The 14,148-nt window shown below is 35.4% G+C and overlaps 1 protein-coding gene across 31 annotated transcripts in view; it reads right to left on the bottom strand.

The window, feature by feature from the left end:
* ESR1 (estrogen receptor 1) overlaps positions 1–14,148 on the bottom strand; it is a 472,948-nt gene that overhangs the window by 196,570 nt on the left and 262,230 nt on the right. The gene's annotated exons all lie outside the window — the stretch shown is intronic.

Here is a 14,148-nt window from a genome sequence, read left to right as displayed (position 1 = left end):
ATACTGCCCAAGGTAATTTACAGATTCAATGCCATCCCCATCAAGCTACCAATATCTTTCTTCACAGAATTGGAAAAAACTACTTTAAAGTTCATATGGAACCAAAAAAGAGCCCACATCGCCAAGTCAATCCTAAGCCAAAAGAACAAAGCTGGAGGCATCACACTACCTGACTTCAAACTATACTACAAGGCTACAGTAACCAAAACAGCATGGTACTGGTACCAAAACAGAGATATAGATCAATGGAACAGAACAGAGCCCTCAGAAATAACGCCGCATACCTACAACTATCTGATCTTTGACAAACCTGAGAAAAACAAGCAACAGGGAAAGGATTCCCTATTTAATAAATGGTGCTGGGAAAACTGGCTAGCCATATGTAGAAAGCTGAAACTGGATCCCTTCCTTACACCTTATACAAAAATCAATTCAAGATGGATTAAAGATTTAAACGTTAGACCTAAAACCATAAAAACCCTAGAAGAAAACCTAGGCATTACCATTCAGGACATAGGCATGGGCAAGGACTTCATGTCCAAAACACCAAAAGCAATGGCAACAAAAGCCAAAATTGACAAATGGGATCTAATTAAACTAAAGAGCTTCTGCACAGCAAAAGAAACTACCATCAGAGTGAACAGGCAACCTACAAAATGGGAGAAAATTTTCGCAACCTACTCATCTGACAAAGGGCTAATATCCAGAATCTACAATGAACTCAAACAAATTTACAAGAAAAAAACAAACAACCCCATCAAAAAGTGGGCAAAGGACATGAACAGACACTTCTCAAAAGAAGACATTTATGCAGCCAACAGACACATGAAAAAATGCTCATCATCACTAGCCATCAGAGAAATGCAAATCAAAACCACAATGAGATACCATCTCACACCAGTTAGAATGGCAATCATTAAAAAGTCAGGAAACAACAGGTGCTGGAGAGGATGTGGAGAAATAGGAAGACTTTTACACTGTTGGTGGGACTGTAAACTAGTTCAACCATTGTGGAAGTCAGTGTGGCGATTCCTCAGGGATCTAGAACTAGAAATACCATTTGACCCAGCTATCCCATTACTGGGTATATGCCCAAATGACTATAAATCATGCTGCTATAAAGACACATGCACACGTATGTTTATTGCGGCATTATTCACAATAGCAAAGACTTGGAACCAACCCAAATGTCCAACAATGATAGACTGGATTAAGAAAATGTGGCACATATACACCACGGAATACTATGCAGCCATAAAAAATGATGAGTTCATGTCCTTTGTAGGGACATGGATGAAATTGGAAATCATCATTCTCAGTAAACTATCGCAAGAACAAAAAACCAAACACCGCATATTCTCACTCATAGGTGGGAACTGAACAATGAGATCACATGGACACAGGAAGGGGAATATCACACTCTGGGGAGTGTTGTGGGGTGGGGGGAGGGGGGAGGGATAGCATTGGGAGATATACCTAATGCTAGATGACGAGTTAGTGGGTGCAGCGCACAAGCATGGCACATGTATACATATGTAACTAACCTGCACAATGTGCACATGTACCCTAAAACTTAAAGTATAATAAAAAAAAAGAGTTTGAGGGCTCTAATGGAAAAAGAAGACAACATACAATAAAAGATGGGTAATATAAGCAGAAAGATAGAAATTTTAAGAAAGAATCAAAAGCAAATGCTAGAAATGTAAAAATGGTGTAACAGAAATGAAAAATGTCTTTGAGGACTAATCAATTGATTCAACACGGCCAAGGAAATAATCAGTGAGCTGAAAGATAAGTCAACAGAAACGTCCCCAACTGAAATGTAAAGAATCAAAAGAATGAAAAAGCAAAAGGTATAACAAGCATATGCATAATTGGAATACCAGAAAGAAAAAAAAAGAAAGGCGAAGAAGAAATATTTGAGGTAGTAATGGCTGAGAACTTTTCAAAATTAATGACAGACACCAAACCACAGATCCAGGAAGCTCAGGGAGTATCAAGAAGATAAATACATGCCACTCCTTACAAAAAAACAAAACAAACAACACCTAGGCATATTGTATTCAAACTGTAGAAAAACCAAAGACAGGGAGAAAATCTTGAAAAAGCCAGAGCCAGGGCAGGGAAGCACCTAACCATAGAGAACAGGATGAAATACAGCAGATTTCTCTTCAGAAACCGTACATTAATAAAGAAAGTGAAGTAAAATATATAAAATGTTGAAAAAAGTGACCAATTTAGAATTCTAGATGCAGGGAAATTATCCTTCAAAAGTGAAGGAAATATTAAAAAAAAATCAGACAAAAATTCAGAGAATTCATCACCAGCTGACTTGCCCTGCAGAATATGTTAAAAGATGTTCTTCAAGCAAGAGGAAGGTGATATAAGTCAGAAACTTGGATCTACATAAAGCATGGAAGATAATCAGAGAATGCATGAATTAAGGTAAAATAAAAGGAAATTTATTTTACACAGGATTCTAAATTCTTTCTAAATTCTTAATTGACGTAAACAATAACTGCCTGTTTAAAATCATAATAGCAGCAATGTATAGGTGATTATAGTATATAGGTAAGTGAAATGAAATAAATGACAGCTATGTCACAAGGGACAGTAAGGAGGAATTGAGAATACTATGTTATAATATCCCTATATTTCATGTAAAAAGGAATAGTGTTATTTGAAGGTGTATTTAGAATACTTAAAAATGTATACTGTGAACTTTAGCGGCACCACTACAAAAATTCTTTAAAGAAGTATAGTTAAGCCGGGTGCGGTGGCTCACTCCTGTAAACCCAGCACTTTGGGAGGCAGAGGCCGGTGGATCACCTGAGGTCAGGAGTTTAAGACCCCAGCCTGACCAACATGGAGAAACTCCGTCTCTACTAAAAATACAAAATTAGCCGGGCATGGTGGCACATGCCTGTAATTCCAGCTATTCGGGAGACTGAGGCAGGAGAATCGCTTGAACCCAGGAGGCAGAGGTTGCGGTAAGCCAAGATCGCACCATTGCACTCCCGCCTGGGCAACAAGAGGAAAACTCTGTCTCAAAAAAAAAAAAAAGAAGTATAGTTAATACTCTAAGAGAAAAGATAAAATGGTATGACATACATTGCTCAAATAAAACTACGAAAGACCAAAAAGAAGCGTTTGGCAACAAATATGAAATAGTTAATAAACACAGGTTTATTTTTATTCAAATATATCAACACTTGCTTTAAATATAAATTGTTTAAATATACCAGTTAAAAGATGGAAATTGTCAGATTGAATTTTAAGAAAGACCAAACTATATGTTGTCTACAAAAAGCCCCACTTATTGATTTATTTATTTTGATTCTCCTGCCTCAGCCCCCTGAGTAGCTGGCTGCCTCCACACCCAGCTAATTTATTTTTACTTTTTAATTTTTATTTATTTATTTTTTATTTTACTTTAAATTCTGGGATACATGTGCAGAATGTGCAGTTTTGTTCCATAAGTATACATGTGCCATGGTGGTTTGCTGCACCTATTAACCTGTCATCTAGGTTTTAAGCCCAGCATGCAAAATACTTTATTTGGTATTTATCCTAGTAATAATGCCCACTTTAAATGTAATAACTCTGATATGTTAAAAGTAAAGGAATGGAGAAAGATACACCATGCTAACATTCACAAAAATAAAGCTGGAGTGGCTATATTAATTTCATGCAAAGCAGACTACCAAAGAAGGAAAAGTACCAAGGATAAAGATGATGATAAAGGGGTCAGTTGTTCAAGATGATACAACAATCATAAATATGTGTATATATGTGTATACCTAACAAAAGTGAATCAAAACACATGAAGCAAAATGATTGAAACTAAAAGGGGAAATAGACAAGCCCAAACCATTATTATACTTAGAAACCTCACCATTCCGCTGTCAGTAATTGCTAGTGCAAGCAGGCAGAAAATTAATACAGATATAGTTGACCTAAACGGTATGATGAATCAACATGGTCTAATTAATATTTATAGAATACTCCATCAAACCACAACTTAATACACATTCTTCTCAAGTTCTGATGGAATACGCACCAAGATAGACCACATTCTGGGTCACAAAACACCCTTAACAAATTTAAAAGAACAGAAAGTGTACAAAGTAGGCTCTCACACCAAATTGGAAATAAATTAGAAATCAACAGAAAGATAGCTGGAAAATATCGAAATATTTAGAGATTGAACAACACACTTTTAAAGAACGTATGAGTCAAAGAAAAAGCCTCAAAATAAATGGTAAACTATTTTGAGCTAAATGAAGATAAAAATAGAACATCAAAATTTGTGGGATGCAGGAAAAGCAGTGCTTAGAGAAAAATTCATAGCATTAAGTAAATATATTAGATAAGAAAAATATATAATATCAATAACCAACCTAAGCCACCACCTAAGGAAACTAGAGAAGAAAAAAACTAGATAAGCTTAAAGCAAGCAGAAGAGAAAGAATAATATAGACAGTTCCCAACTTAAGATGGTTTGATTTATTATTTTTTTTGACTTCACAATGGTGCAAAAGTAATATGCATGCATTCAGTAGAAACTGTATTTTGAATTTTCAATTTAGATCTTCTGTGCTAGCAATATATGGAACAATACTCTCACTTAATGCTGGGCAGCAGCAGCAAGCCGCAGCTCTCAGTCAGCTATGTGATCATCGGGGTAAACCATCAATACTCTATAGTGTGTTTTGTTGCCAGATCATTTTGCTCAACTGTAGGCTAATGTATGTGTTCTGAGCACATTTAAGGGAGGTTAGGCTAAGCGATAATGTTTGGTAGGTTAGATGCATTACATAAGTCAAAAGACTTATGATATTTTCAAATTACAGTGGATGTACTGGGACACAACCCCATCATAAGTCAAGGAGCATCTGAAATTAGAGCAGATGCCAATAAAATTGAAAACAGAAACATGATAAAGAAACTCAGTGAAACAAAAACTGGTTATTTTAAAAGAGCAATAAAATTGATAAACTTCTATTCAGGCTAATTAAGAAAAAGAAGCCGGGCACGGTGGCTCACGCCTGTAATCCTAGCACTTTGGGAGGCCGAGGCAGGCAGAGCACTTGAGGCCAGGAGTTCAAGACCAACCTGGCCAGCATGGTAAAACTTCATCTCTACTAAAAATACAAAAAAAAAAATTAGCCAAGTGTATTGGAGCATGCCTGTAATACCAGCTACTCGGGAGGCTGACACATGAGAATCACTTGAACCCAAGAGGCAGAGGTTGCAGTGAGCAGAGATCACACCATTGCACTCCAGCCTGGGTGGCAGAGTTAGACTCTGGCAAAAAAAAAAGAGAGACAGAAAACATAAATTACCAATATCATAAATGAAAGAGAAGTCACCACGACTGGTCTCTTGGAGATTAAAAGGATAATAAAGGAATATTATGAACAACTCTATGCTCACGAATTTGATAATTTGGATGAAATGGACCAATTCCTTGAAATACACAAACTACCAAAACTCACACATGGAGAAATAAATAGCCTAAATATCTCTATATATATTAAATATATTGATTCAATAACTAATTACCTTCTAAAGAAATCATCTGGCTCAGGTGGTGGCAAGATTACTTCTAACAAATCTTCAAGAAAGAAATTGTGCCAATTCTCTACAATCTGTGTTAGTAAACAGGCAGAGAAAACACATCCTAACTCATTCTGAGTCTAGAATTATCCTAATACCCAAATCAGATAAAGATATTATAAGAAAGTAAAACTAGAGACCAATATCTCTCCTGAGCACTGGCACAAAATCTCAACAAAATGTTAGCAAGACAGAACAAACGATGCATAAAATAAATTATACATCATGAACAAATGGGATTTATTCCATGTCTGATGGCAAATTCAACATTTGAAAATAAATCAATATAATCTGCCACATTAACAGTGAAAACGGGAAAAGTCATATGATCATATTAATTGACACAGGAAAACTATTTGACAAAATTCAACAGCTATTTATGATTAAAAACTCAGCAAATTCAGAATAGACAGAAATTTCCTCAATTTCATATAGGAAATTTAAAAAAACAATAGCTAACATTATTCTTAATGACAAAAAACTAACCACTTTCCCCTGAAGATGAGGATAATTCTAAGATATCTTATCTCATTCCTCCTATTATACATTATGCTAGAAATACCAGCAAGTGCAATAAGGCAAAAAAAGAAATAAAAGATATATAGATTGGGAAGGAAGAAATAAAACATCTTTATTCACAGATGGCATGATTATCTATGCAGAAAATTCCAATGAATCAACAACAACAACAAAATCTCCCCTGGAACTAATAAGTAATGATGCCACGGTTAAAGGATCTAATGTCAATATACAAAAGTCAATTTCTTTCCTACATATCATCATGAATAACAGGAATTCAAAGTTTAGAAAATACCATTTATAATAGTACATTCAATACTAAGATATAAATTAACAAAGTATGTACAAGGCCTATATGTAAAAATCTATAAAACAATGAAAAATGAAAGAAGATCTTAAAATGATGAAGAGATAATAGAGATTGAAAGTTCAATATTATTACATGTTCATATTATTCAATATTGATAAAATGTCAATTCTTCCCAACTTAATTAACAGATTCAGAGTAATCTAAATCCAAATCCCAATAATCTATTTTGTAGATATTGACAATTGATTCCAACATGTTTAAAGAAGGGCAAAAGACCTAGAATAGCCTTTAATACTGAAGAAGAACAAAATTCTGAAGAAGGTGGAGCACTTGCACTATTTCATTTCAAGACTTACCATAAAGGCTACAGTAATAAAGGCAGTATGGTACTGGTTAAAGTATAAACAGATGGACTAGTGAAACAGAGTAAGAAGTCCAGAAATAGATCCACACAAATAAGGTCAACTGATCTTTGACAAAGAAGAGCCAATTAAATGAGAAAAAGGTCATCTTTTCAGAAAATATTGCGCTGATTACCCTTAAGATATATATAAAAAGAAAATGTTGCTGAAGCAACTGGACATTGATGTGGAAAAAGAAAAACTTATACACAAACCTTACACCTTAAACAAAACTTAAGGTGAATCATTGATCTAAACATATAATGCAAAATTATAAAACTACTTCTTGAAGAAAACAGAAAAAATTCTATATGATATTGAATTTGGTAGTAAGTTTTTATATACAACACCAATAGCACAATATGGAAGAAAAAAATTAATAAATTGGGCTTCATTAAAATTTAAATTTCTACTTTGAAAAAAACAATTAAGAGAGTGAAAAGATAAGCCACAAACTGGGAGAAATTATTTGTGAAACACATGGCTGATAAAAGACTTGTAATCAAAATATACAAAAAAACTCCTCAAACTCAACAAAAAGAAAACAAAAACCCAATTTTATGTATGTACGTATGTATGTATGTATGTATTTTGAGATGGAGTTTCATTCTTGTTGCCCAGACTGGAGTGCAATGGTTCAGTCTCAGCTGACTGCAACCTCCACCTCCTGGGTTCCAGTGATTCTCCTGCCTCAGCCTCCCAAGTAGCTGGGATTACAAGTGCCCGACACCATGTCCGACTAATTTTTGTATTTTTAGTAGAGACAGGGTTTCACCATGTTGGCCAGAATGGTCTCGAACTCCTGACCTCAGGTGATCTGCCTGCCTCAGCTTCCCAAAGTGCTGGGATTACAGGCGTGAGCCACTGCGCCCAGCCCAAAACCCCACTTTTAAAATGGGCAAAAGATCTGATGTACACCTCATTGAAAAATACATACAGTTGGCAACAAATGAAAAAATGCTACATATCACTAATCATTAGAGAAATGTAAATTAAAGCCATGATGAGATATCATCTCACACCAGTCAGAATGGCTATTATTAAATACTAAAAAAACAAACAAACAAACAAAAAAAACCAGATGCTGGGGAGGTTATGGAGAAAAGGGAAGACTTATACACTGCTGGTGGGAGTGTAAATTAGTTCACCCATTGTGGAAAGCAGTGTGGAAATCCCTCAAAGACCTAAAAGGAGAATTACCATTCAACCCAGCAATCCCATTCCTGGGTATATGCCCAGTGGAATATAAATTGTTCTACCATAAAGACACATGCACATGTAGGTTCATTGCAACACCATTCACAATAGCAAAAACATGGAATCAACCTAAATGCCCATCAATGGTATGCAGGGTTTAAAAAAAAACAATGTAGTACATAGACACCGTGGAATACTATTCAGCCATTAAAATAAAAAGAAAGAAAAAAAACACGAGAGCATGTCCTGTACAGGAACAAGGATGGAGCTGGAGGACATTATCCTTAGCAAACTAATGCAGGAGTGGAAAACCAAATACTGCATGTTCTCACTTTTAAGTGAGAGATAAATAATGAGAACCAATGGGCATAAAGAGGGGAACAAGAGACACTGGGGCCTACGTGAGGGAACAGAGTGGGAGTGGGGAGAGGATCAGGAAAAAGAACTATCAAGAACTATGCTTAGTACCTGGGTGACGAGATGATCTGTACACCAAACCCCTGTGACACAAATTTGCCTGTATTAACAAATGTACATATGTACCCCAAATCTAAAATAAAAGTTACAAAATAAAATAAAAATAAAAATTAATTAAAAAAAATACAGTTGGCAAAAAAAGTATGTGAAAATATCCTCAATATTTTTTGTCATTAAGAAATTGCAGGCCGGACGCCGTGGCTTATGTCTGTAATCCCAGCACTTTGGGAGGCCAGGGCGGGTGGATCACAAGGTCAGGAGTTCAAGACCAGCCTGGCCAATATGGTGAAACCCCATCTCTACTAAAAATACAACAATTAGCCGGGTATGGTGGCAGGCGCCTGTAATCCCAGGTACTTGGGAGCTTGAGGCAGAGAATTGCTTGAACCCAGGAGGCAGAGGTTGCAATGAGCGAAGATCGTGCCACTGCACTCCAGCCTGGGCGACAGAGCGAGACTCCATCTCAAAAAAGAAAAAGAAATTGCAAATTAAAACAATCAAACACTACTACACATCTATTACAATAGTTAAAATCCAAAACACTGACAAAAATCAAATGCTGACAAGGATGTCGAGCATCAAGAACTCTCATTCATTGCTGGTGGGAATGCAAAATGGTACAGCTATTTTGGAAGATAGGTTGGCAATTTCTTATGAAGCTAAACACATTATTACCACAATGATGCAGAAATTGAATTCCTAGATATTTACCCAACTAATTTGAAAATACACATGCACACAAAAACCTGCACAAAAATGTTTAGAGCAGTTTCATTCATAATTGCCATGAATTTAGAAGCAATCAAGAGATTCTTCACCAGTGAGTGGATAAATAAAAGTATTATTCAGTGATTAAAAAGAAATGAGCTATCAGACCATGAAAATATATAGATGAAACTTACATGAATATTGCTAAGTGAAAGTAGCCAGTCTGAAAAAGCTACATATTGTATGATTTCAATTATATGATATTCTAGAAGAGACAAAAGAAAGATATTAAACAGACCAGGGGTTGTCAGGAGTTCAAGGTGGGAAGGAGGGGTTGAATTAGAGAAACACAGGATATTTTATAGAGTAGAGAAACTATTCTATGCTACAGCGATAGAAACTATTCTATTCCATAGGAACTATATTACTATAATGGTGATACAATACATTAAATACTTGTCAAAATCCATAAAGCTTTACAGAACAAAGAATAGACCACAATGTATCCAAACTTAAAAAGTTAATTTAGGATGTCAGGGGAAACTGGGATGGAATGCACAATATTACAAAAGAATTTAAATGTATGACAAATACATGAAGCAAACTCACTAATGGACTTAGGAAAATAAGGCGCTAACCTAAGTGACTCGGAAAATGAGTAAGTGGAATCTGTTAGAATAAAGGCAAAGGAACTGTATATAAACACTATACTCTAGTTGATAAAGTTGTTTCGTACATGAGTACAGATTAACAATTCTGAAACTTCCATAGAAGTATAGTGGAATTAAATAATTAAGTAAATAAATAGCAGATGGTAGGAGCCAGGTTTCTCACTATTGGTATAGGAAGTGACAGATAAGTAAGAGGAGAAGGCTAGAATGTTCCATGCTGTTGCAGGTTAGAATTGGAGACATCAGTAGGTACTCAGGTTTAGCCTAAGATAGATACAGATGGTTACAAATAGAAATATTTTTATATGTGTGTAGATATATAGGTTGGTACACACACATATATCTCTTTGCACTATCAGCTTAGAGGATCTAGAAGTAACAACACACAATAACAACAAGTACACCAACAGCCCATATCTTGGTTTTCATTGAAGGAAATTATTGCTCCTTGGAGAAGTGGCTGATCATAGAACTGGGGCAAAAAATACAGAAGATAAGTCTGAACTATCTTGTAGTGACAGAAAGTAAGAAAAGGCTTTTAAAAAACCCTACAATGATATGTAAGAAGCCAAAGAGATACAGGAGCCAACTGAAAAATCTCCAAATGGCCAAAGCTGGAACAAGATGAGCTACAAAATAAAATAGTATTGGACTGTACCCAAAGCATAAATATTCATGGGTTCTAGATGGCTGATACTAATTGTTGACTAAATAAATTAATGGAGGAGAATAGACACTTCCAAATAATTTATAGAGCTACTCCACCCTTAAAGAGGTAGAGCATATCTTCTCACTCCTTAAATATGAGCTCCACTTAAGTCTTTAATCCATCTTGAATTAATTTTTGTATAAGGTGTAAGGAAGGGGTCCAGTTTCAATTTTCTGTATGTGGCTAGCCAGTTCTCCCAGCACCATTTATTAAATAGGCAATCCTTTCCCCATTGCTTGTTTTGGTCATGTTTCTCGAAGGTCAAATCGTTGTAGATGTGTGGTCTTATTTCTGAGTTCTCTATTCTGTTCCATTGGTCTATGTGTCTGTATTTGTACCAGTACCATGCTGTTTTGGTTATTGAAGTTTTGTAGCATAGTTTGAAGTCCCCTAGAAGAAAATCTATGCAATAAATATATAGGCACAGGCAAAGATTTCATGACAAAACTGCCAAAAGCAATTGCAAAAAAAAGCCAAAATTGACAAATGGGATCTAATTAAACTAAAGATCTTCTGTACAGCAAAAGAAACAATCATCAGAGAAAACAGGCAACCTACAGACTGGGGGAAATTTTTTGCAATCTATACATCTGACAAAGGTTTAATATCCAGAATCTACAAGGAACTTAGACAAATTTGCAAGAAAAGACAAACAACCCTATTAAAAAGTTGGAAGAGGACATGAACAGACACTTTTCAAAAGAAGACATTCATGAGGCCAAAGAACATATGAAAAAAGCTCAACATCACTGATCATTAGAGAAATGCAAATCAAAACCACAATGAGATACCATCTCACACCAGTCAGAATGGTGATCATTAAAAAGCCAAGAAACAACAGATGCTGGCGAGGTTGCAAAGAAATAGGAACACTTTTACACTGTTGGTCGGAATGTAAATTAATTAGTTCAACCATTGAGGAAGATGGTGTAGCAATTCCTCAAAGATCTAGAACTAGAAATACCATTCAACCTGGCAATCCCATTACTGGGTATATACCCAGTGAAATATAAATCACTCTATTACAAAGATACATGTATGCATATGTTCACTGCAGCACTATTCACAATAGTAAAGGCATGGAATCAAACCAAATGCCTATCAGTGATAGACTGGATAAAGAAAATGTGGTACATAAACCCCATGGAATACTATGCAGCCATAAAAAGGAAGGATATCAAATCCTTTGCAGAGACATGGATGGAGCTGGAAGCCATTATCCTCAGCAAACTAATGCAGGAACAGAGACCCAAACACCACATGTTCTCACTTAGAAGTGGGAGCTGAACAATGAGAACACATGGACACAGGGAGGGGAACAACACACACTGGGACCTGTCAGATTGGGGTTGGGGGAGGGAGAGCATTAGGAAAAACAACTAATGCATGTTGGCTTTAATGCCTAGGTGATGAGCTGACGGGTGCAGCAAACCACCATGGCACACGTTTAACTATGTAACAAACATGCACATGCTGCACATGTACCCCAGAACTTAAAATTAAAATTAAAAAAAAAATGAGCTGCACAAAATGGCTTCTTCCAAAAAGTACTGTATGGACAGGGAGAAGAGTAACTGTATAATACAGAAACCTGACAAATACTATCTCAAGCCAGATGATCAAGGTTAATATCAACAGTGATAAGTCATATTGATGGCATGTACCCTTGATACGATGTGATGACAATCACACTTAACCTCTGTGGTCTTCCTCCCCAAAACACATTAAAGCCAGTCAAACCATGAGGAAAACATCAGACAAATTCAGACTGGGAGGCATTCTACAAAATGCCTAAACTACCTGGGGTATCAAAAACAATGAAAGTCTCAGAAACTGTCACAACCATGGCGAGCCTGGGAAGACATGACAACTATACATACCATATCCTGATGGGGTCCTGGGACAGAAAAAGAACATTAGAGGAAAACTTAGAAAATCTGAATAAAGTATAGATTTAGTTACTAATAATGAAACAATATTGGTTCATTAGTTATGATAGATGTACCATATAATGTAAGATGTCGATAATAGAGGAAACTGGGTGAGGCATATATGAGAACTCTCTTACTATCCTTGCAATAATTCTGTAAATCTAAAATAAATTTTTAAAGTTTGCTTTCTTCAAAAAAAAAAAAAAGCAGTCAAGGGCAAGAAGTACTTTCATATAATATTAAAATTAGTTTTACGTTGCCCCTTCACTGTTTGGAATGACTAGTCTCTACCATTCATGCTGCTATGTTGATGGCGCACAGCTGAATCATCCTACCTTAGAGTTTGAGTCAAAATATAATTTTATAATAATGATTGCATTGTATGTACTGAAGACCATGAAGTTGGTAAAGATGAAAAATTAAAGTTGTCAGAAGAACCAGCCTATAAATAAAAACTACAAAGATTCTATCCTTGCTGCTTAAAAAGCCTTTATCTCCACCTTCATGGTGCAAAATAAGCTTTGGTAATTGGGTAAATAAGTTCAATCATGTTGCAGCTGTTTATATGTTTCTAAGGAAGACATATGCATATACATATACATGTACATATACATATACCTGTGTGTGTGTGTTTCTAGAACATTCTTCCTCCTTCATGTGTCTTCTTTTCTTCCTTGCTTACTTAACTCCTACTCATCTCTTTGAGTTCAGCCAAATGTTCCTTCCTCAAGTAAGTTTTCTCAGATCCTCTATAATAATCAATCAACCAAATACTGCTTTTCACAACACCCACTGTTTTCTCCTTCAGAGCACTTATCAAAATTACAACTAAAATATCCGCTGACACTTTAATGTTTAAATGACTGTGTAATGTCAAACTGATTACATTGATGGGGTCAACATGTTCGACATGGGGTCAACAATTTGTAACCTCAGAATCTAACACAATGCTGTAGTGGGCCTCAATTAACATTTATTGGATGATAGATGTATGTGTGAATTTATTACAGTGTTATTTTCAGAGCTACCACCTCTGAAAAGTTCTAAGACCACTAAAAACACTATTGTAATAAAATTGGCTCCCAGGTCATCAATTACTTGATTCCAAAAATTCTAGCTTATCTTGGGCACTAAATTTTTCTTTAAATGAAAAAGGAAAAACCAGAAGTGTTACTGAGTCTCAGAAATGCACATTACATTTTTGTTCCTTAACACTGAATATAACACAAATTTAAATTAAAAACTTCTCCAATTAAATAACTAAAACAATCACAATAAAATGTCAAAGACCATTCAATTGCAAATTGCATGAAAGCAGGGACTGCATCTGTCTTGTTTACCATTGCTTGTGTCCAGAATATCTGTTACACTTCAACAGGTATGTGTCTGTTGAATACATAAATAAGCCTGGGCAGGACTTCATATTAAGGGACACATTAATATTAATGACACAACTTTGATATATTTAAAATATCTTGGCTACTATCAGTTACTGACATTTTATTATAGTTGTCTTCAAAATAGTCCTTTCTAATAATGCAACTCATTTTAAATAATCAATGTAAGTAACAAATCTTATTGCTAAATAAAAGAAATAAGTTAGGAT

Source organism: Homo sapiens, chromosome 6, assembly GCF_000001405.40.
Source record: "Homo sapiens chromosome 6, GRCh38.p14 Primary Assembly".
Taxonomy (NCBI): domain Eukaryota; kingdom Metazoa; phylum Chordata; class Mammalia; order Primates; family Hominidae; genus Homo; species Homo sapiens.
This window is presented reverse-complemented; position numbering and strand designations above follow the sequence as displayed.